Here is a 24,061-nt window from a genome sequence, read left to right as displayed (position 1 = left end):
GGGTTATCAGAATTTTCATTGTGTTGATGGCTTTTATGTTCTTTATGAGAAAGTTTTTGTTGATCACTTACAGATGGCTCACCTCTGTAATGAATATAAATATGTGTTTGTACTCTTGGAATTTGTCTGATAATGGAGATAAATATTCACAAATTACAGAAAAGACCAATTTTTAAAATGAGTTTTATGGTAGAAGAGGATTTAGACATGTATTTTATAAGGAGAAGAAAACATTAAATGGACGCTCAGGGGTAAGAGTATAAATATAGGAGACAGTCGAGCAGCTAACTCCTCTATCTAAATCCTGTGCTGGCTCCTTGCCTCCTGGCAGCCTGGCCACTTTCCACGTGTAGCTGAGGCCAGAGACAACGTGTCACATAGTGATATGGACAAGAGACAGGAAACAGGGAAATACTGGGTAGAAGAGGGCAGTTCTCCAACAAAGGCCCCACCCCCAAGCCTGGAAATCCACGGCCCTAAGTGGGAACAGGCATTCCCGTTTTCATGCCCAAATGTTGTCTTTTGGCCCACTACGCCCCCCCGTCCTGTACCCATATAAACCCCAAACCCCAGGCTCCATGAGCAGACGGGCAGATGAACAGAAGAGAGAAGGGCAGCAGAACAGTGCAGCAGAGAAGGAGAGACGAGGAGGAGCATCTGAATATCCAGAGAAGTTCGACTAGGGACAGTTGGGGAGGAGATCAGCCACTGGATGGCCAAACTCCAGGGGAAGATGATCCTCCCACTCTACCTCCTCTCCAGCTCCTCATCCATCCTGCTGAGAGCCACCTCCACCACTCGGTAAAACCCCTGAATTCACCATCCTTCAAGTCTGTGTGTGACCTGATGCTTCCTGGACTCCAGACAAGAACCCGAGTACCAAGAGGGCACTGAGCTGGTTAACACTTAGGCCGTCTGCAGATGGCAGAGCTAAAAGCATGCCCACTGGGGCTTTGGGAGTCGCAGGCACCCACCCCTAGATGCAGCTGTGTGGCTGGAGCCCAAAAGATCTCCCCCTGGTTCCTGCACCTGCCTGTGTGCATGCTCCCCCTCCATAAGGGGTGCCACCCCCCGTTGTACATTCAGTGAAGGGGGTCAGGGAAGTCTTCTGTTTCAATTGTAGTGGCCATTTTATGGTGTTAAAATACAGGAATCTGCTTTTTTATTTCATGAATGTTATTTCTTTCTCTTATACTATATTTGCTAGATATAATCCATTCACTTAAGCATTCTTTGATTCAACAGATACTTATTGGCTGTGTGTGGTGGTTCATGCCCATAATCCCAACATTTTGGAAGGCTGAGGTGGAAGGATCACTTGAGCCCAGGAGTTCAAGACCAACCTGGGCAACAGAGCAAGACCCCAGCTCTACAAAAAATACAAAATTAACCCGATGTGATGGCATATGCCTGTAGTCCTAGCTGCTTGGGAGGCTGAGGCAGAAGGATCCCTTGAGCCTCAGCTATGATTGCACCACTGTGCTCCAGCCAACCCTTTCTCTGAAAAAGAAACAAGCAGAAAACGAATATTTACTAATTACTTAGTCTGTGTCAGGCAAGTTACCAGTTCCATAAGTCAGTGAGAGCTACCAATCTCCTGATTTCAACCTTTTACCTAAGAATTAAGAAAATTCTGTAATGCCAGGTAAAGGCAGTATATAAGCATATTGTTATCAGTATTAATAAAAGGTGATATTTAATCACCGGTTGCTCTTTGTGAGGCACTGGACACTAAATATTTGATATAAATCTAACCCTCTCTGGCTTAAAAACTTACTATTCTCAGCCGGGTGTGGTGGCTCACGCCTGTAATCCCAGCACTTTGGGAGGCCGAGGTGGGTGGATCGCCTGAGGTCAGGAATTCGAGACCAGCCTGGCCAACATGGTGAAACCCTGTCTCTACTAAAAATACAAAAATTAGCCAGGCGTGGGGGCGGGCGCCTGTAATCTCAGCTACTTAGGAGGCTGAGGCAGGAGAATCGCTTAAACCCAGGAGGCAGAGGTTGCAGTGAGCCGAGATCGCACCATTGCACTCCAGCCTGGGGTACAAGAGCGAGACTTCTTCTCATGGGGAAAATAAATAAATAAAAAATAACCTTATTGTTCTCATGGAAAAGTTAAAATTCCTTGGCCTGGCTTTTAAGGCTCAACTCATCAGCTAAACTATCACTCCGGCTGTAGCTTTTTAAAAGGCTTTTACAGTTCACAGGAATCTGAATCATTTGCTCCAGCGCAACCCTTCCGCCCTCCTGCTCTCTGGGGCTGTGGGCAGCCTGGAGCGCTCTGTCTGCGGAGGCTGGAGGGTCTTTCCAGGCCTTCTTCTCACCTCCCCCACTGGGGCCTCTCTCCTTCCTGGAAATTCCCACCGCTCTTCTTGGGAGTACTACTGCTTTGTCAGTTTGACATATTGTCCTTCATTTTTTAAAAATTTTTCAAATTCTCGTGGCTCATCCTCAGTTAGCTTGTTGTTAAACTAGTTTGTTATTAGGCCTCCCCAGTGAGCATGGAGCAGTAAATCTGCTGGCAGCCAATGTTCCTTAGATACTGGATGTTGAAGTTGTGAGGGCTCCTCTCTTAGGTAGTATTTCAGGTCTACCCCTTTTCTCTTACAGATGGAGAAAGAGCTGGTTCTGGGTCATATAATAAAAACAACTGATTTTAGGGGGACATGACAGAAGGGACTACACCAGTGTTTTGTGGTTTTTGTTTTTTGGTTTTGGAGTGCCTATTAGGTCCCAAACACATGCATTCTGCTATCTCATCTAATCTTCCCACCAGCCCTACTGTTTGCTTCATTAACTCTTTACAGATGAGAAAACAGACATAGAAACGCACGGTAGTTTGTCTGGGGCCACCTAGGAGTTAATAGGTGGTGGTAGGAGGATTCCCATTCGGGCTTGATTTTTTTCCAGTCTTTGCTGTTTTCCCTCCTGGTTGGTCTTTACCTGTCTCCTCACTCCCAGTCCACTGTTTCTGTTTCATTGTCCTCAATGGCACTCTGCTTTAAGCCAGAACCTAGTGAGTTGACTTAGCAATACCTCTTCCATGTTGCTCTTCCCCCTTTTTTCCATTTAAAATATTCTTGAATATTTTAATAGTCATGACTATTTTAAATAACAGTTTGGAAAGAGGACTTTAGTGTCTCTGTCTGTTTTAGCCCACGCACCTCTCACGTTTTCTCAATGAAATGCATCACCTCCCGAGGGGAGAAGAGTTGCCAGCCTTGGTTCTGTTGTCTGCATTAAGAAGACAGTAGTGTTGGATACCTTTAAGTGAGATTAAACGTTGCTGCTACTGCTGCTGCTGCTAATTTTGATCATAGTAGCAAAAACAGCCACAATTATTAATGCTCCAAAAGGCAGAATCAGCTGTTTTTCCAAATGTTCTTCTGATTTGTGTAATGGTGTTTAACTGCTTTTCTGGTTGAAAATATTGCTGCTGTCAGGATTATTTCTTATATAAATGAAGGTGGCTGCACAGACTCTTGTGGTTGGCAATCCTGTTTGCTTATGTTTAAGCTATCCTTGTATTGAAATTTCTGTATTGGTTTGAAAATAGATAGTAATTAAGTCTGACTTGCGGTGGGTGGCTGGATAAGAACGTTCATATTTAAAATACTGAGAAATGCAAATATTTGACTTGATATAATGCAGCCATACATCCTGCCCTAGATCTTGATTACTTAAACCTTCTGTTGAGCTTTTAGACAGATGGTCTTTTGAGTAATGAACACTCTCCTTTGAATATAGCAAGATGCCATTTGGTAAACTAATGAAGTAGCATTGTTAATAAGTATTTCATGCAGCAACCACAACAAAAATCTGAAATGGATGTGGGTAGTTACAGTTTAGAAAAATTCTGAGTTCTGTCTTATAGATAGTTAAGTGTGTAATCCCTCTTCAGGCATTTGATCAGCTATTCTCTATTTCTGCACAGAAATGAAAAAGAAATTCACTGTCACAGTTATCACCATCACACTGTATGTATTAAGAGTCTCTGCCCGTGGGTGACCAGGCTTCAGAATGATTGTAGAGCACCATTCTTTTTCCCTGCTGGTTATTATAATCTAAGGCAGCGGTGGTATAGTCAATTAGCAACATAAACAAAACAAAAATGATGAAGAAAAATAATATTGACCAGTGAGTTTTATGTCAAAACTTGAAATGTAAGTTGGATCAGCAGATTTTTCAGTTTCAGAAAAAGCTTAGTTTTTCCTCCCTTATTTGTGCCTCAGATTCCTCTCCTCAATCCTCCCTCCCCCAGTTTTAGGTGAATGGTGGTACCCTGCCTCACTTATTTACAATCATTAGGGAAAAAGTGTCCCACTTAACGGAAATTTCCCACATAATAGGAGCTCCCATCAACATCAGATAACATGCTGATTTCAGTCATTTTACATGTTAACAATTCTTGAGAGTTTTCTTATACTACCTGGCTTCTTCTCTACCAACTGCTTACACTCTAAAGTGGTCAGCTTTAATTCTATATACCTTTTCTACAACCTTGAGGATTTGGCTTTCAGATCTCCTCTTTGGGATTAATTAGAGAAAACCACTGGGAAGAGTGACAGGCAGGTTGAAAAGGATGATAGTGTAAGGCTAGGAACATCTGCTGTCGAGTCCTAAGAGGAAGAAAGGTGGCTGGTCAAGGAGGAAGGTTCTGTGTCAGCTAAAAGGAGGGTGCTGGGAGGTCGTCCAGGCAGGCTGGAAGTGAGGGCAGTGGAGTGGGGACTTTTCTGGCTGCTCCTGTCACCTCTGGTTGGGGGAGGCCTCACTTGGGTTGTGTGGAGGACAGGGTGCTGGTGGCACAGACCCAGCATGAAAGCTCCATGTCCCTTTTGGTGTGCAAATCCTGACCAGTAAGGGGAAGCTCCTCCTCCTTCTGTTTCCCAGGTTATTTCTTGCAGAATCCCCTTTTTCAGTGTTATTCAAGCCTCTGGCTATACACCAGCCCCTTGGGCTTTCCAGAAGCTTCTGCTCCTCCCTGCACAGCTGGCCTTGGCCTTTCCACTTCTGTACCTCATCTGCCACTTGCTTTCCTCCCTTGTCCTTGCACGGATCCTGCTCGCTCTCCCTTCATGTCTTTGCGTAGGCTGCGTCCCCTGCCTGGATCCATGCCATCCTTCTGTGATGTGTTCTGTCCTGTCCTCACAGTTGATCTGGGCCCCCTCTGTTCAGGGGAGCTCCGTTCCTGTTGGAGTGTGGGGTTTACACTACCTCCAAGACTGTGGGAGGCCTTGCCGTGTCCCTCTTTTCACTACTCCTGCAGTGCTGGGCTTGTTATCTGCCTTCAGGTAGGGGCGTTAGTATATATTTATTGAAAGAGTAAATGAATGAAGTATATTGATTGAATTTATTAGTACATATTTATTGAAAGAGTAAATGAATAAAGTATATTGAACTTACCATTGTTTGAGGTTGTAAAACAAATATTTTGTCTTCCATGAGTCTAAGTATTGTGGGAAGGTAGATACCAAACAATAAAGATACTCTGGGTTTCACACTAATTATGAATTGAGACAAGTATGTACAGAGGTTGGAAGCAAATGGAGGTGGCGAATGAGGTTGTTTATAGTCTGAGAATATCCCCTAGGGAGTCAGGGTGGCTCTTCAGCTGTGTTTGCTTATCATACCAAGCCTGCATCTTGGGAGCTGCAGAAGAAAGCCATACAGTTCTCGAATCTGTGCTTTATAGAATCCATTAGAACCCTTGGAGATTTGGGCTCTGCCTCCAGCATGTTCATGATTACTGTAGTCATCATACTAGTGTTTATTTTTCTTTTACTCAAGTAATTACTCTGTAGAAGAGCCTGTCTGTAAAAAGTGGATTATGTAATTATTTCTCCAGAAAATTGGCTTTCTACTTGTTCTTGGGATTAGCATTTGAGAAGACTGTGAATCACATTTTGGGACAGCCAGTTGTGTGTCAGGCCACAGTGTGTGCTGTTGTGTATCAGGAGGCCACCTTTGCACAGCACAGATGTTGAAGCTGCCACTGAGAACAGTCTCTTGCACCTTTGTCACTGCATTCACAGTCAGCCACACTCTGCAGGTTAGGGATCTTTACCAGATGTTTATTATTCTGAAGAAAACTGCTTAAAGCTTGAGGGATTTGGAAATGAGATATGATTTGGAAATGAGAGGGCTTTGGAAGTGAGATAACGTTGGCTAATCACTTATCAATAGGAATTTTTTCGTTAAACACTGTAGAGGCCTCCGAAAGTCTTTGAATAACGTAGGATTTGGATGATGGCAATGCTGGTGTTCTTCCCTAGATTGGTAATTTTCAAACTTTTTACTTTTTCTCACTCTTATCTGCCCCACCCTGCCCCCCCCAGCCCCCACCCAGCCCCCACCCCGGGCCACAGTGATCATTAGGGCACATTTTGATTACTGTGAAAACGATGGCTCTGGAAACACGCTTGAATAGAATGAAACCTGTGATTCTGCCCCTGTGATTCTCCATTTGCTTGAATAGAATGAAACCTGTGATTCTGCCCCTAGGGCTTCCCTGATTGTTACACCGAGACCACCTTACCCGGAAAGGATGATTTCATCTTGTGAGGGTTGCGTTCCCATATCCCAGGGTCACTCAGACATGATTTGGGGAAAGACCCGTATATACCAGTCTCCTGTCTGTTACTTATCCCAGCTGTGTGTTCTGCATAAAAAATGCTGGATTTGTTTTGTCATGGGGTAGGGGGCAAGAGTTAGTTTTATGTATTATTTATTTATAATTCTATTTATTTGGAGAGATATATTCATACTGTCTAAAGCATAGCCAGTGAAAAGTTTTCTCCCACCCTCTGCCCACCATCCACTTCCTTATGGTATTACTAGTATTAGCAGTTCATTTGTATTACTAGTTTCTTGTGTATCCTTTCAGAGATTTCTTTTGCATAGTCAGGCAGGTACTAATTTACATTCTACAATTTCCCAGTGCTCTGTCATGCTTTAATTTTGCCAGCCGCTCCTTCTACCTGGAATGCCTTTGCCTCTTCTCTCCACCTGGCAGACCTCCTCCTCATTTGAGGATCTGAGTATTCGTTTCTTCTGAGAAACCGTCCTGATCAGCCCCATCCTGACAGGTGGCTGTTTTCTTCTTGATGCCTTCATAGTGCTGTGCGGTTATCTCTTTCACTATATCGCTGTCAACATGTCTTAATGCATGTCTCTTCCCTTTACCAGACTTGTTTTTAGGAACTGAGCTGTTGTATTCCAGAATGCCGACTGTCCTACACAGTTCCTGAAACAGCCTAGACATTTAGTCGATGGACGGAATGAACTGTGTTCATTAGTGCACTACTTTGTGTGTTTTTGTTGGGACTGTGTTCAGTTTGCCACGCAGAGTAGGTTAGAGCGTGTCTGTGATCACCCTAAGCATCTCCTCAGAGTCAAGTGCCATGTTGTCTGATACCCTGTATGCCATCATTTAGTGCCATTGGTTGCCCGGCTGGGCAGTCTTCCTGTTAAATCTTTTACTAGACAGAATGGGAGGTTCGTAAAGTGTATTGACTCTTACTAAAGAGGAGTGGGCCATAAATCCCTTCTGTGAAAGTAGATGAAAAATGGTAAGTCAATAAAGGTGAAGTCTTGGCGTCATGGTGGCCTTTTAGGGTTTTCTTTCCTCTCTCTTATGGAGGCTAGTAGAAAAATCCTTTATCTAGAGAAGAGAAGAAGGTGAAGGGACGTCTTTACGTGCAAAAGTACGGTTATGCTGTGTAACTGGCTGGCTGCCTAGGAAATGCAGAGTGCACTTTTCTTGTCTTCAGTCTATTACAATTTATCTATCCAAATCACTCTAGCTTTCTTTAGCCTGAAGATTTAGACAGGACTCCAGGTGTACTAGAAGATTAAAATGATGCTTTTCTGTGATCTGCACATTCCTAACACAATGTAATGACAACATGGTTGCTGATTGTGCCTACGTCAGTGACACCAGAAAGAGAAGGGAAGAAAGAAACTTCTTGGTCTGTACATAATTTACATTCTGTTTAGCAATTCTGCATAAGATCTGCATCTATATGTTTAACTCTTAAAGGAAGCTATAACTTATTTAAAGAAGTAATATAGATTTTTATTTGTTGACAGGGAAAGTTATTAATACATTAATTGAAAAATATTATAGAACATTATCGCATATATACTATTATGTAATTCTATTACTGCTAAATTACAAACATTAAGAGAATTATATGCGAATTAGAAAACTAGAAGGCTGTGTATATCAAACGGTTAATAATGGTTGAGAAAAGTGTTTTCCTTCTCTAGACTGTTTGAATTTTTAAAAAACAATTATGTTTATCAGAGTAAAAAGCTATGAATTTTTCAGCTTGTTAGTAGGAAAAACAGCCCAAGAACAAGAGGTTAGAAGAAATAGACAAAACTTGTAGCTTCTGTAAGGGTGGTAGTATTACGTGTGATTACATATTTATTCTTCAGTCCTATAGTTTTGTAATGTAAGTAGATTACTTTCATAATTAAAAACAAACCAAGCCAACCATGGTTCTTCTAGAGCACTTAGGCGCCCACACGGAGCCTCATAGATACATGAGTCAAGTGCTTGAATTCAAAGTTTTAAGCCAGATATGAAAAACAAGTAATGTGTATAATAGAAAGTTAGAAATCATATAGTCAGTAAGTGTAGCTTGTTTGTGGCCAGGTTTAAGTCCATGTGAAGGCTGTGCTTTTTCCGTGCTATGCTACAGGGAACCTTGTAGAAGAGTTTACGCTTACGGCATTGCTGAGTAGTCTGGTAAAAATTAAGGCATTAAAGTTGCTATCAGATTTTTTTAATTTTAAAAAATATTCTTACAAATTGAAATATCTTATTTTAGTATGAGGTTGGCTCCTCTGGTACTTCTGTAACCATCCACCGCTTTGCCTGGTTTTTTCCTCAGGAAGAAAAGGCATGAAAATGAGCAGACAGTTGTGTCACTGGGCCTGTCCCGTTTACAGGTGTATAATTCCTGTTAACGCCTTTAAAAAGAATTCATATGCTGGATTCAGAGTGTGGTAGTCTTTGTGCCCATATACAGTGACCCCCTGCTTTAGAGAAGAGGGGATCTGCTTTCGGAGCTTTTTTGATTGTGATATAACAATGATAAAGTTTTAGGCACCTGGTGCTTATCTGTCTTTTTGTGCAAGAAGACTTGGCTGTGTTGTGCGTTAGGTATCTTTTATTTGCTAGTAAAATAGGTGGCTGCAGGGCAGGGATGTTCCAAGCAACCTTCGTATTATTTTCTTCCCTTCTGCCAGCACATTTCTTAATCACTTTGACCAAGCCTCTGTCAAATATGTTAGAGCAGATGCTCTTTTTGAGAGATAAAGATCATTCTTGGCATTCAAGCACTTTTTTTTTTTTGAGACAGGAGTCTCGCTCTGTCGCCCAGGCTGGAGTGCAGTGGCGTAATCTCGGCTCACTGCAAGCTGTGCCTTCCGGGTTCACGCCATTCTCCTGCCTCAGCCTCCCAAGTAGCTGGGACTACAGGCGCCTGCCACCACGCCTGGCTAATTTTTTGTATTTTTAGTAGAGGTGGGTTTCACCATGTTAGCCAGGATAGTCTCCATCTCCTGACCTTGTGATCCACCCGACTTGGTCTCCCAAAGTTCTGGGATTACAGGCATGAGCCATTGCGCCCGGCCGCTAGCACTTTTGTATTAGAAAGTCATTATAGCCATTAAATCGTGTAAAACATTGCCTATGTCCCAAGACGTCTCAGAATGTGGGAGTAGTTCCATGCTTATTCCATGCATTTCAATGCTTATTCCGTGAATAAGAGGATAAAAAAAAAAAAGAAGGTTTCTGTTGGGGGGTACATAAATACATGCACATGTTTTTGTGTATACCTATGCCCATATTTAAAACATTTGCTGTGAAAATATTAACCGTAATTTTAGAAATTCCAGTCTTTCTGAAGTACAGTTGACTTGAACAATGTGAGAGTTAGGGGCACCAACCCCCTCCCTCCAAAATTTACTAATGGCTTACTGTTGTTTGGAAGCATCCTTAATAATATAAACAATTAACATTTTATATTTTATATGTTTTGTTTTTGAGATAGAGTGGAGCTCTGTCACCCAGTCTGGAGTGCAGTGGTGTAATCATAGCTCCCGGTAGCCTCAAACTCCTGGGCTCACTGATCCTTTCACCTCAGCCTCCCAAGTAGCTAGGACTGCAGGTATGCGCCACCACTCCTGGCCAATTTTTAAAACTTTTTGTAAAGGTAGGGCCTGCTGTGTTGCCTAGGCTGGGCTTCAACTCCTGGCCTCAGGCTGTCCTCCCTCCTCAGCCTCGCAAAGCCTTGAGATTATAGGCAGCTTGAGCCACTGCACCTGGCCCATTGTATGCATTAGATACTATAGTCTTGCATTACAGTAAGCTAGAGAAAAGAAAATGTAAAAACGTATTTACTGTTCATTCAGTGGAAGTGGATCCTATAAAGAAAGGTCTTCACATCGAGTAGGCAGAAGAGGAAGAGAAAGGGGTGACAGAGGTGGAAAAGGTGGAGGAGGTGGAAGGGGCCAGGAGAGGCAGGCACACGCAGTGTAACTTACTGAAAAAAATATGTGTATAAGTGGACCCATGCAGTGCAAACCCGTGTTCAAGGGCCAGCTGTATTGATTCATTTGAATCATGACAAAAAGTGTTTTGGTAAATTATGCAAATTAATGTTTGTATATGATACATTTCGATTACTAGTTAGATAGACCTAGGTGAAAGTACAGTAAGGATAGTAGCAAGGCTTTGCTCTGTGCGTCTCTTCATTCGATTTACATAGCAGCATAGTCACAGGCTGTCCTGTGGAAGACAGTGACTGGTTGTGTTAGATACACTGTACAATGAGAGACCCTTCTAGTACAGATTAAGCCTCATGAAGGCGCACAAATTTATAAAATTTACTTAAAATAGCTCTTGGGGATTCTTGGAAAACTTAGCTGTTTTTCTGAATCTGAGGGAATTAGTAGGTGGCAAAGCCTGATTTTTGTCATGTGCAAATACCAGTGTGTACAAACAAAGCATGTTCCATTCATAGCCTTAGGCTATTTGCAGACACACAGAGAGGAGTATATATGAGCGAAAGGAATGTGCAGTTCCTCACAGGGCTCAGCTGGGCCTTGGAGACAAAGTGGGAAGACCCAGACTACCAGAATTACATGAGATCGCGTAACTGCAAATACCTTGCCAGTGCCTAGTGCATAGCCAGCCTGAGGTAAGCGCATTTTCTTTTTCCTTCACTCTGTGGGGTTTGGCCTCAGTTCCTTTAACTTAGCCCCTGGCGTCTTGGAGAGTGGGAAGTACAGTTGTTTGGGGTCAGGTTTGGAGGGCCCTGATTGCTAGGGTGGGAAATTTGCTTTTTATTTTGTGGCAGAGGGAAAGTGAAGATTTTTGCAGGTTTTGAAAGACTGGACATGAACAGATACATGTTTATGAAGGTTATTCTGGTACCCTGTCTTAAGACTAGAGTAGATGCATTTTAGAACTTTATGATAAATACCCACTGTCTATGAGAGTGCACTTTGCATACAGTAAATGCATCTTATTTGAGCTACTGGAAGTGAGTAATTTCTGATAGATGAAATGCCCACATCTTTAAGCATGGCATAGATGGCATAGATGCAGGCGATTGTGCCCCATCACCTCAGTATCTCTATGTTGAGTATCCTGGAAATAATTGTATTGAGGATTAACTAAATTAATAATTATTTAAAATGATCATTTTTCAGACAGAAGAGAAATTAGTATATATCGCGAAGCGACTTTCCCAGGGTTACATAAGTAGATGGTAGCAGTCCAGTGCTATTTGTCTGTATCATACTGATAACTTTAAATCATTACATCATTCACTACAAATGCTGAATATTCAGAGATACTTTTATGTATCAGATGTAATCTTGTACAAAAACAGGAATAAAAATACTGTTTGTCTTCTGTTAAGGGTTTAGATAGGTATTTTTAAAACTATACAGAGAGAGAGAGAGAGAGAGATTTAAGGCTCAGCCCAAGATTTAACATTCTTTCCCTGCCCCAGTTCCCCTTCATGAATTACTTTTTTTTTTTTTTTTTTTTAAATCTGTAGGATCAAGCCAGTCCTTGCCACCTAGATTGTAGAAATGTGCTCTACTCTTGTGAAGAATGCTCCTGGAGAGGGCTTATTTGAGAGGGTGTACTGAAAACTGGGCTTCTGAAGGTCTTAATATGTTCTTCTTTCATTCTTTCTTTCTTTTTGTTAAATATCAGTAAAAAGCATCAAATGAGCGGATAAAGTTGATGGGGAAGTCTAAGTTTAAAACACTTTTAATGTACAAGAACCAAAATATCGACTTACTGTCTTAACTAAGAGATGCAGATATTGACAAGAAAAGAATTTAGGACTTGTTCAGCATCAGTGAACCTGGAGTTTTTGGGGAAAAATAAATTATCTATCTGGTTCATCAAAGAAAGCCTTACTTGCACTTGGGCCTTAGAGTTCAGGAAACCCGTAGAACCTACTGTTAAAGGTTTTATGTCTTCTTTATTTTCAAATGGTGTTTTGTTAAATATACCTAGTAGACTATCTGAGCTATTTTCTTGTTGAAAATAATAAATTATTAATAAATGGCAAGCCCAGAAGATATATTCTGTTATGTTATGTTATGTTATGTTATGTTATGTTATGTTATGTTATGTTATGTTAATGTTATGTTATGTGATGTGATACATGTGCAGGTGTGTTACATAGGTAAACGTGTGCCATAGTGGTTTGCTGCACCTATCAACCCATCACCTAGGTTTTAAGCCCGGTGTGCATTAGCCGTTTATTCTGATACTCTCCCTTCCCCTGCCCCTCTCATTGGCCCCAGTGTGTGTTGTTCCTCTCCCTGTGTCCATGTGTTCTCATTGTTTGGCTCCCACTTATAAGTGAGAACATGTGGTGTTTGGTTTTCTGTTCTTGTGTTAGTTTGCTGAGGATAATGGCTTCCAGCTCCATCCATGTCCCTGCAAAAGACATGATCTTCTTCCTTATTATGATAGATATATTCCTAAAGACTTGATATAACAAACAACACACAGTGAGTGTTCTGTAAGTTAATAGCAAGGTGCCTGATGAAGGCATTGACTATTGCTTATAATGATAGTGATAATTCTGGTCAAATTTTAAATTTTATCACCGTATTTCACCAACTAGATCCGTATTCTTTCCTTTCTCTCTCTCTCTTGCATTTGCCTGATTTCTTTCTCCGTAGGCTCAGTTTTCTTCTTGCATGTTTCTGTTTTTTCCCCAGTTGCTTGCCCTTCTCCCTTTCCTTCCATTCTATCTTTCTGCCGTCCTCTCCTCTAACACTTATGGAAATTGCCAGAGATACCCCTGGTTGGCCTTTGCTCTCTTATTTTCCTGACTCACTTGAGTGCCCTCTGACTGTGAAGACTGTGAATTCCTTCCCTCATTCAGAGGGGATGGGCAATGGAGGCAACGGGTGTTGGAGAATCGAAACCAATGAAGGTTTGCAAAGAGGCTGTCATGGCAGAGGCTGGCTCAGTGAAATGAATACTCCAGTTTGAAGGTGCCACTTCATTGCCATCTTGCTTTCAGTGTTGGTGCTTTCTAGTTGAAGTTTTTTTGTTGTTGCTGTTGTTTTGAGATGGAGTTTCATTCTTGTCTCCCAGGCTGGAGTGCAGTGGCGTGACCTCGGCCCACTGCAACGTCCACCTCCCGGGTTCAAGTGATTCTCCTGCCTCAGCCTCTCGAGTAGCTGGGATTACAGGTGCCCACCACCACGCCCGGCTAAATTTTGTATTTTAAGTAGAGATGAGGTTTCACCATGTTGGCCAGGCTGGTTTCGAACTCCTGACCTCTTATGATCCACCCACCTCGGCCTCCCAAAATGCTGGGATTACAGGTGTGAGCCACCGTGCCCGGCCTTTATTTGAAGTTTTAACTTGCTGGGAGCTGGACACTATTTTACACGCTATACAGGCATTCGCATTGGGCACCATGCAGCTTTCTCCATACTGCAGGAACAAGTTAGACACAGACCTTTCATTTTTGTTTTGACCTTGTAGTCCACACAGAAGAAAAAATGCGTAATGAAAACTGGTAGAATGAAGCTCAGAGGAGCCAGATCTAGATTGACAGGTCACTGGGGGGCTCTCTGAAGTAAGAGGGCTGTCGTCAGACTCGTGGTAGAAAGAGGCTGGCCACAGGGTGCAGCTGGGATCCCAACTCTAGCTGGTTCTGGAGGGTGGGCCTGGGGGAATGGGGAGAGCACAGAATGAGAGAAGAGCTGCTCTCCAGGTCAGTTGTGTTTGCTCTTCTTGTACAACCTGCGTGAGATCCTCTCCTTTAAAACCTCAGTCTTCATGCATATTGGCCTGGTGATGCTCTGTACCAAATTTCTGAGGTAGTGGGCCCAGATCTACTCGGGGGAGTGCAGAATTGAAGGCAAAGATGCAGAAGGGGAAATCTCTTATTATGTCTTCTCCCGTCCTTGAAGATGTTCAGGTCATTTTCAGGGTTGTTTGACTTTTAGGAAACTACTTAATTTCTCTTGACCAAATGAAGTTTAAGTGATTTTGAGTGTTCTCGTTTGACCTTTGAGTGACAGACCCTTAGACTTTTTGCAGTTGTAAGTAGTAGGAAGGACTCAGATTGTTTCGCACCTCTCAAGGCCTTGCCTAAGGTGTCCACTAGTTACCAAGAAGCCCTAGATAAGACCCTACCCCAAGGGTTTCAACTGGCATCAGGTTAGACAGAGGAGTTGAGCTGCTTCACCTGCAGCGGTTTGTGTAGTTAGCCTGGTAGAAGGCTGGAGATTGTGAACCGAAGATGATGAATAAACAGATTTGCTGTTTGCTTGACGAGGAGACTCTGAGGAGAGGATTTTCATTCTGTGTTGCCACAAACAGAGCATGTGACTGCTACTTCCCCCAGCAATCAAAACAGGATTAAGAGGAGTAGAAAATAAGGTAGATAAAACTTGCATCTTGGGAATATTCGTCAGCTGTCTGAATAGGTAACAAAAATAGAAAAAAGAACATGATATTCTATATACGCTTGCAGGTTTAGATGCTGAGGTCAAATTTTGTCTTTGTCATTAGTGGTGAGTCAGCTCACCCACCCACTGTCACATTCTTGATGGTTGGGAAATTTTGAGCTCTCTACTCAAATTGTACCTTCATGTGATCATCAAATTATTGAAAGTTTTTCTTCTCAGTTATGTGTGTATACAAGCACATGTGTGTATAGTGGGGGAGGGGGGGTCACAAAACACTAAGCCTGGGGGACTTTAAGATTATATGAAGTAGGAATTAGCATAGAGATGGCAGCATTCTCTGTACCACTTCTCTTTGGATAATTTGAAACCAGTAATTTTACATAGGCCATTTGAGTGCCAGTGGTGAAAAGGTTTTAATGGAAAGTGGTGTTGGGGGACTCTGTGGAAAGGGAGCTGGTGCCATACAGAGTGAGTGCCTTCATGTGGAACGATGCTTTGAAAGGATCAGATATTGCGGAGGCACCAGGCATTCTTTCCCTCTGAGTCATTCTGGAGGTATAACCCCTGCTGAGGGCCAGTTACTGTTCTCTGTGTTGGAGAAGAGAAGTGGGTGTTTGTAGGGTTAGGAGACCTTCCTCATCTGCCCCATACCCCCTCTTCTCTTGTCTGACATGCCTGAGTGATTCTGGTGCATGCCCTCAACAGCCCCATGGCCTGCTGAGCTAGGTGTCAGCAGAAGATCCCCATCCTGGCCCCATCCTGGCCTGACCGTGATCCCACCTGTGCCAAAATGGAGATATTTCAGCTTTATTCTGCTGCCTTTGAAATTACTGAGACTTTTTGTTGTTTCTGTGTAACCAATGTTAATGAGGATTTGAACCTAGCATTTCCTCACTGATGGGGTAAGAACTTGCCTGGGAGATTGTCACAGATAACTTAAATAAATGATGTTTATTACAAAAAGGGTTACACTTAGGTTATTTTTGTCATTTAGGAAGTCTGTAATCAGTGAATGAAAAATGGACAAGCTTAAATATCATAGTTAGAGGTAGAAAGGTTATATGTAGATAGTTTAAGGATCATGAATGAACAATAATAACTGTGGAACACATTTGCGTATGGGAGGCACTATTCTAAGCCTTACCTGCCTCAGCTCATTTAATCCCCACAGCAGTCCTGTGAGTTAGGTCCTATTAATTCTCCATTTTACAGATGAGAGAATCGAGGCTCACAAAGGTTAGCTAACTTGCATGTCTACACATGGTCTAGTAAGTAGAGCTGTGGTTCTGACCTTGGCGTCTGACTCCACAGCCCATCTGTGCTACTAGCCATTATTACACCATTGCTCCTGCTAAACAAGGGTGACGGACACAAAACCAAAGCTTCAGGGATTTTTAAATTAAGAAAATTTATCATTTTCCTATTTTGTGAAGTATTCCTTGTTGCTTCATTTTTTTTTTATCTTTTGAATTTTAGTATATTTTTAATGTGGGCACTATAAAGCGATGTATTGCTACTATTGTTCTTCTTAAGCAACTCTGATGTTTTGCTGTTATACTATTGGTTTAGTTGCATACTTATGTACATAGGAATATTTCTTAATTTTATTGATCAGAATTTCTTGTTCCAAGAAGTAGGACATTCTGTATTTACAAATTGCTTGGTCCCACCAAATTAATACATAATGTAATTATTATTATTTATTTATTTTTGAGACAGGGTCTCACGTTGTCACCCAGGCTGGAGTGCAGTGGCACAATCACAGTTCACTGTAGCCTCAACCTCCCAGGTCTCAGGTGATCCTCCCACCTCAGCCTCCCAAGTAACTGAGACTACAGATGCAAACCACCACACCTGGCTAATTTTTCTATTTCTTGTACAAACAGGGTTTCACCATGTTGCCTAGGCTGGTCTCGAATTCCTGAGCTTCAGCGATCCACCTGCTGTGGCCTCCCAAAGTGCTAAGATTATAGACGTGAGCCACCGTGCTTGGCCCATAATGTAATTACGACATGATGTGGTATAGAAAAGAATAGTTCCAAATTAAAGCACATTCTTTGAGATAAAACATCTTCAGCCATAAGACATCCCAAATATTTGGACACAAGAGAAATTGGTTTTTGACTCTTTATCACCTCAACTACTCCTCCTGTCAGTCGTCTTATTTTTTTTTAGGCAGAAGAACTTTTTATTTATTACTTATATAGTGAAATCATCCATAGCAATATTGCAGTTACAAGAGAAAAAGAAGGAGCTTATTAGACTTAGAACTTCTGTCGTTTTGTTTGTTTGTTTTATTTTTCATTTTTGGAGAACTCTTTTTCACCAGTCCGTTGACAGATTTTTAATGATGGTGTAGGCTGGCTTTCATTTCAGCCTAAAGGCTTCTTTATTTGGTGGGCTGATTTCTCTCAGTCCCTGGGCTTTGCATCACTGGTGTCACATACCATCTGAAACAGGGTGAGAAGAAAGTAGTTCCTCATAAGCAATGATTCAAGAGGCCAGGAGAGTGGTTGGTTGGGACCCTTACGGCTAGAATATAGTTTTGAGCATCTCTGAATTCCCAGGCCTTAAGTTAGATTCCCTCCAGTTTTCCTTAAAGGTGTTTTGCCTGTGAAAACCATCTACATACACCAGACATTGGTAAGAATATTCTGCTTCATGGTTACTGAGATGAGGCTGCATTGCCAAAAGAGAGTGAAGGATTTCGGGAGAGAGGCGAGAGATGCCTCAGGCCCAAGCTGGAATGGGATAACCTGACTTTTAGATAACATAGACTTGTTTTCGCCCTTTCCCAGCTCCTGCGCTCTCAGATCTGTCGTGCTTCCTTGGTCTCCTTGTCTCTGACCTAGCAGCCAAATCTCTTCTCACCAGATTCCTTGGCAGGTCCTCAGTATGCCTTCCCAGGCAGTGTGTGCCCTTTGCTCTGTCAACCACTGGAATCCAAGTTTCAGAGAATTCTCACCTGTTTTAGCTACAGAACATATCCCTAAGGAGAAAGTCACTTGAGACTCTAACATTTCTAACTTTGATGGAACATTAAATCTCTTTTATGAGCAGTCTGCCTCACTTATATTTCTGTTTTAATATGTAAAAAATCAGTAGGCCTAATAAAAATGACTAATGCCAATTTTTTGTTGCTTTTCAACATTCATAATACATACCTCACAAAGTAACTTGTTAAAAGACATCAATGATAGAGTACAGAATTCCTTACTGTGAGGCACGGTGCATTTGATGTGAACTGAATGTCTGGCATTCAGTTGCATTTGGACATAGGCTCATGGTATATATTCATATTCAAGTTAAATGTAATTTCTTTAGATGTGTAGCAATTAATATTAATAATGACTTGGCAGATTATTCTTTTAGAACCTGGGATAGCATTTGTAACTGAAAACTTTTCTAGAGAATTTTACTTTTCTTTTTGCTTAATTTCTAGACATTTGGCTTGAGAAAACTGCGATTTTGGTTTTGTAGTGAAACCATTTTGCCAATGAAGAACATTAAAATTCCGGCTTCTGTTTGTGTCATATTTCAGACTAAAGACATTTTACAATCAAACCAGGAACATGTGAAAATAGAGATTTATAATGGAAATGTTGATTCAATTTGAGCTGAAGCCAGACATTCATGAAGGAAAATTAGATTAAACAGTAGATGTTTAGAGAGACTTTAAATTATGACAGCTTTAAAAAAAAACATATGTTGTGGATGTTTCTTAGGCATACGCGTACTTTCTCTGGCAGACTGGGAACCTAGCTCCTTGATGTTTCAGCCGTTTATTAAATTCCCTTTTATCTTTCTTTGGACTAGTGGACTCAGAACTTACACAGCTTAGAGTCTGGTGATTGGGAATTGTATCTTGTACATTACTGTAGGATCAAAACCTGATGTTGTCAGTGGAAGTAATTCTGTCCTGTCATAGCGTATTACATTTATGAGTAGAAATTGCCATTTTAGATTGTGAGTATAAAGCTACCAGTTACAACTGATTTATTCCATTTGTCAAAGCCTAACAGATACTCCATGCAAATAATTTATTTTCATATACTGTTCAGATAGCGAGGGAAGTGCTTGAAATTGTGAAGAACTGGGATCTGTGTCAGGGGAGCAGTGTTAACGGGAGGATTCATGAGGCTGGATGTAGATGCTGGAATGATGAGTCTCCCCAGAGGTCCAGCACCAAAGGACTCACCCTTGCTAGAGTCAGCAAGACCCCGCCATGGTGGTGATATCCCAGCCTCAGGCAGGCATTTGGGGCCAGTGGGACACAGTGTGCTGCTGACACTCCTGCTTATCAGATACATGGTTTACAAATATGTTCTCCCATTCCATGGGCTGCCTTTTCACTTTGTTTGGTTGATAGTGTCCGTTGATGCACAAAAGTTTTCAGTGTTGATGAAGGGCACTTCATTAATTTTTGTTGTTGTTGCCTGTACTTTTAGTGTCATATTCAAGCAATCATTGCCAAATCTATATGGTGAAGCGTTCTTCCAGTGTTTTCTTCTATGAGTTTTATAGTTTTAGTAATTATGCTTAGGCCTTTGATCCATTTTTAGTTAATTTTTGTATATGCCGTTAGCTGAAGGTCCAACATCATGCTTTTGTATATAGATAGCCAGTTTTCCCAGCACCATTTGTTGAAAAGACTGTCCTTTCCCCATTGAATGGTTTGGCACCCTTGCTGAAAATCATTTGACAATACATGTGAGGGCTTACTTCTGGGATCTCTCTTCTATTCCATTGGTCTTTATGTTTGTCTTCATGTTGATGCCACAGTGTTTTGATTACTGTAGATTTGTAATAAGTTTTATATTCAGAAAATGTGAGACTTCCAGCTCTATTCTTTTTTTTCAAGATTGTTTTGGCTATTTGGGGTCCCTTGAGGTTTCATATGAATTTTAGGATAGTTTTTTTTTCTATTTCAACAAAACCTTATTGGGATTTTGATAGGGATTACATTGAATCTGTGGCTTGCTTTGCATAGCATTGACATTTTAAAAGTATTACGTTTTCAATTCATGAACCTGGATGCCTTGCATCTAATATTTTTTAATATATATTCCCTGTTGGCAAGAGTATACCTTTGGAGGTAGCCAGACAGACTTGCTACTGGATTCTTGCTCTGCTGCTTAACTCGTTGTTCAGCTTTAGATAAGTGTCTTTGGAGTCTCTGAGCAAAGTGTTCTTGTCTTTACATGGAAGTTGTGGAACACTCTAAGTTGTGTATCAAGGGTCTAGCAGAGGCTGTGTGACACCTTTTTCTTTATCCCCTTCTGCCTTCCTTGGACATCTGTATGTGCCTCAGCTTTGTCCTCTGTGATTTAACCAACACTTTGCCTGTTATCTCTCCTATTTTTAGATTGAACACTGGCCCAGAACACCTGCTCCAACTGAAACCTTATATCCACCATCTCATACAGTATATTCAACTCAGGTGCTGACTCCAGTTTCAGGTCAGTGATAGCTGCAGTCCACCTTTCTGTAGAGATCATTGCCCCGCCCAGTGGTGGGCCACCTGGGATCCAGCACTTGGAGGAGAACTGTGGTCTTAAACATCATCACTGGGTGATAGGGAAGGAAGTATAGGGTGACTTTAAAAGGTAACTCAATCATTAATGCTACTTCTGAATTAATGGTTTAATCATACCATATGCTTGTGTAATGTTTTATATTTTCCAAATTATTTTTTTACCCTGTGGATCTCAAAGATGAATCAACACTAGAAACACCTGAGGAACTTGTTAAAAACTGTCTGGGGGCCCCACACCCAATCTCATGGGTCAGGATTCCTAGGACAGTGGCTAAGGAATTTGTGTTTTTAACAAATTCCTCAGCTAATTCTCCAGCAACTGACCTGGCACTGGTCCACAGACGGGCCTTTGGGAACCTCTGACCCATGCCCTCTGTCAGTTCTAGAATCTCATTTTCAAAATCTGACGGGATTTAAAGATCTGTACAGCTAATGTCATTATGGAGCATTGTACCACAGAAGGCAGGTTTTGTCTTGACCCCAGCCTCATCTTGTTCTGTATTTCAGGGACCTTAGTTCCACAGTTCTCTTTAGCGTTTCTCCTGCAGTAGAGGTAGGCATCTCATTGCTCTGCTGTACCTCAGTGTTTTTAACAAGGACATGAAATCTGGGTTTTGTTTTGCTTTTGCTTATATTACTCTGGGCATTTGCCGTGATTGGGTCATATAGCAGCTAAGCCTCAGGATCTTTGTTTTTTAAAATACAAATTCTGACTCTCTAGACATTTCAGTTTGTTTTAAGAAGTGTTATGGGATGTGCTTTACTGCCTTCAGGAAACACAAACAATTCTGGAAGCTAAATTTATTTTTTTATCCCCATTGAAAAACTGCACAAAAATGCAAGGTAAGTCAGCATTTATTATGTGCCCAAATGATTTGAACATATAGCTGAGTTTACAGTAAGAAGTGATCAGTGTGAGCTGGAAGATTTCAAGGTTTCATGTGGACTGATGATGACAACAGCAAAAATACTGTTAGTATTTATCAAGTTCTTGCTGTGTCTCAGGCCTTGTGCTCATAAGCATTTTGCACATGTGATCTATTTAACCGTAACTGCTACTCCCTTCTACAATCTTCTCTATCTTAATAAAGGTCAACTTCATCCTCTCAGTTACTTACGCCAAAAATCCTGGAGTCATTCTTGACTTTTCTTGTTCTCCTGCTCAGCCCATTCATTAGCCAGAGCTGCCAGTTCAATCCTCCCACCAGGAAGCAGTCTGCTTCTCACCATCTGTACTGCTGCCACTTGGTTCAAGACCCCATCACCCTCTCTTGCCTGGATTATTGCAGTGGCCTTACCTCCATCCTTCCCATCTTAGTTCCCTGGAGCCTTTCCTCATCACCGCAAACAGAATGGCTAAGTCAGATCTCACTCCTCTGCTTAGAACTGTCCAGAATGAAAGTCAAATCCTTCCTGTGGCCCATCAGTCCCTCCCGGATCTGAGCCCGCTACCTTTCTAACCTGTGTGCTTGCTGTCTTTGCATGTGCCAGGCTTGCTTTCAATTCCAGTCCCTGATTGGAGCTCCTTCCCCTCCTCCCTCTCCCTTCCTTTCTATCTGTGTGGCTGATTTCCTCATCCTTTTCTTCAGGTATTTCCTTAGCCACCGTACCCTTCCGTTAACGCCCATACCGGCACCTACATGTCCCCAACCTTTCTGATCCTGTCCCATGATAGCAGTCGCTTTGAACAAGTTATGTAGACCCTACCCAAATTCAGTTGCATTCTACCTATCCACATTACCAACCACAACTACTAAGAAGAACCAAAAGATGTTCCTCTGTATTACATGACTTCTTCTGCCAGAATACTTGTCCTGTGAGAGCAGGACCTTTTCCAGGGCCTTTCATTACTGCATCTTTGATCCTAGACTAGTACCTGGAAGGTAGTAGTCACGTATACGTATTTGTTGAAAAAATAAAACCTCCTTTACATATGATGAAACAGATTCTGAGGGTTTAAGAAATGTGCCTAGAGGAGCAGAGTGAGTACATGGCTAAGCCAGCATTTGAACTTAGGTCTTGCGTCAATGTCTGCATATTTAATATCACAAGAAAGGGGATGGAAAAGACATTGCAGGGAGGGAACTCCAATAAGGAAGCTAGGGAGGTTGGGGTGGCTCAGGTGTATTTGAGAAGATTTTAAGGTGGTCTTAAGTGGTTTTGGTTGGTAAGGCGGATAGGTAAAATGCAGCTAAATTTGGGTAGGGCCTTAAATGCTGCATTTAGAGGCTTGAGAAGTTTTACTCTAAATTGGGGATAATAATAATTCTTATCATATAAGTTTATCAAAATTCAAATACTTAAAAGGCATTTAGAAAGTGCTTGGCACCTACAGAATGCTCAGTAAATGTTGCAATTTAGAGTATATTTTGACAGCAGAGCAAACCCAGGCTACTGTTACCACAGTAGAAATTTATAGTGTTTTGGACTCATATAAATGATTTCTAGAGCGTTCCCAATTTCACATTTTCATTTCTTCAAAACTAAAGAACCTTGTGAGTAAATAAATTGTACTACATTCAGCTGCTTAAATGGAAGATGGTTCAGTACTTGTGAGAGGGGAAAACGGAGATTTTAGAGTCATGTATTTAACTTTTTAGTTTTCCTCTATTAGAATTATGTTGAAGCCAATAGCTTCCAATCCTATTTGTGCATGACAACTCCCTTCTAAAATTCTAGATTCCAGGGCTGCTCCAGGTCCTCTGAACCAGAATCTCTGGGGCTAGAGTCCAGGAAGCAGGGTATAAACATCTGTTAGGTAATTTTAAAAATGTGTAGTCAGATTTGGGAACCGCTGGGCAAAACAACCCCAAACTTGTTAACCTTTTTTTTTTAGCGAAAAGGAGTATTTACCTTTTTGCTCAGAAATCTGTTGTGAAGACTTAAGAACCCTTTCTAGTTGTACTACGCTTTTATGGAGGGCCTCAGGCATGTGCTTAAAGGAGAAACTCCATGGCTAAAATGTGACAGGGGTTGTAAATGCAAGTAGAATAAATGGTGGCCCAGCACGGTGGCTCACGCCTGTAATCCCAGCACTTTGGGAGGCCGAGGCGGGTGGATCACGAGGTCAGGAGATTGAGACCATCCTGGCCAATTTGGTGAAACCCTGTCTTTACTAAAAATACAAAAAAATTAGCCGGGCGTGGTGGTGTGCGCCTGTGGTCCCAGCTGCTTGGGAGGCTGGGCGGGGGAATCGCTTGAACCTGGGAGGTGGAGGTTGCAGTGAGCCAAGACCGTGCCACTGCATTCCAGCCTGGCGACAGAGCAAGACTCCATCTAAAAAAAAAAAAGAATAAATGGTGAGGCTTCCTGCCCCTAGAGATGATGAGGATTCTGGTTATACAAGAAAGACTGCAGGAGAAACAGGTTGGTTCACCTTCAATGACAAGGGTCAGAGAAGTTATGCTTTAATCACCAGTGACTGCTCATACTGAAGTCTGGGAACCAGCACTTCTCTCCCAAACTGTGGGGTTGATGGTGAAATGAGGCTTCAGGTTGCTGATGACACATCATTCTGCAATAGGTGGGGCCGTGCTCAAGAGCATAATAC

General features: G+C 41.9%; 1 protein-coding gene across 11 annotated transcripts in view, besides 3 other annotated features; it reads left to right on the top strand.

Moving 5' to 3' along the window:
* The window catches only part of SIPA1L2 (signal induced proliferation associated 1 like 2), a 232,532-nt gene that overhangs the window by 76,573 nt on the left and 131,898 nt on the right, over positions 1-24,061 (top strand). The gene's annotated exons all lie outside the window — the stretch shown is intronic.
* Positions 1,731-2,258: an enhancer, noted in NCBI's record as "H3K27ac-H3K4me1 hESC enhancer chr1:232687412-232687939 (GRCh37/hg19 assembly coordinates)". NCBI's record gives its function as "activates a minimal SCP1, AML or CMV promoter by ChIP-STARR-seq in naive H9 embryonic stem cells {active_cell/tissue: H9 hESC(naive)}" and the evidence as "EXISTENCE:reporter gene assay evidence [ECO:0000049][PMID:30033119]".
* Positions 2,259-2,787: an enhancer, noted in NCBI's record as "H3K27ac-H3K4me1 hESC enhancer chr1:232686883-232687411 (GRCh37/hg19 assembly coordinates)". NCBI's record gives its function as "activates a minimal SCP1, AML or CMV promoter by ChIP-STARR-seq in naive H9 embryonic stem cells {active_cell/tissue: H9 hESC(naive)}" and the evidence as "EXISTENCE:reporter gene assay evidence [ECO:0000049][PMID:30033119]".
* Positions 4,747-5,370: an enhancer, noted in NCBI's record as "H3K27ac-H3K4me1 hESC enhancer chr1:232684300-232684923 (GRCh37/hg19 assembly coordinates)". NCBI's record gives its function as "activates a minimal SCP1, AML or CMV promoter by ChIP-STARR-seq in naive H9 embryonic stem cells {active_cell/tissue: H9 hESC(naive)}" and the evidence as "EXISTENCE:reporter gene assay evidence [ECO:0000049][PMID:30033119]".

This window comes from Homo sapiens, chromosome 1, assembly GCF_000001405.40.
Source record: "Homo sapiens chromosome 1, GRCh38.p14 Primary Assembly".
In the NCBI taxonomy this organism is placed as follows: Eukaryota; Metazoa; Chordata; class Mammalia; order Primates; family Hominidae; genus Homo; species Homo sapiens.
This window is presented reverse-complemented; position numbering and strand designations above follow the sequence as displayed.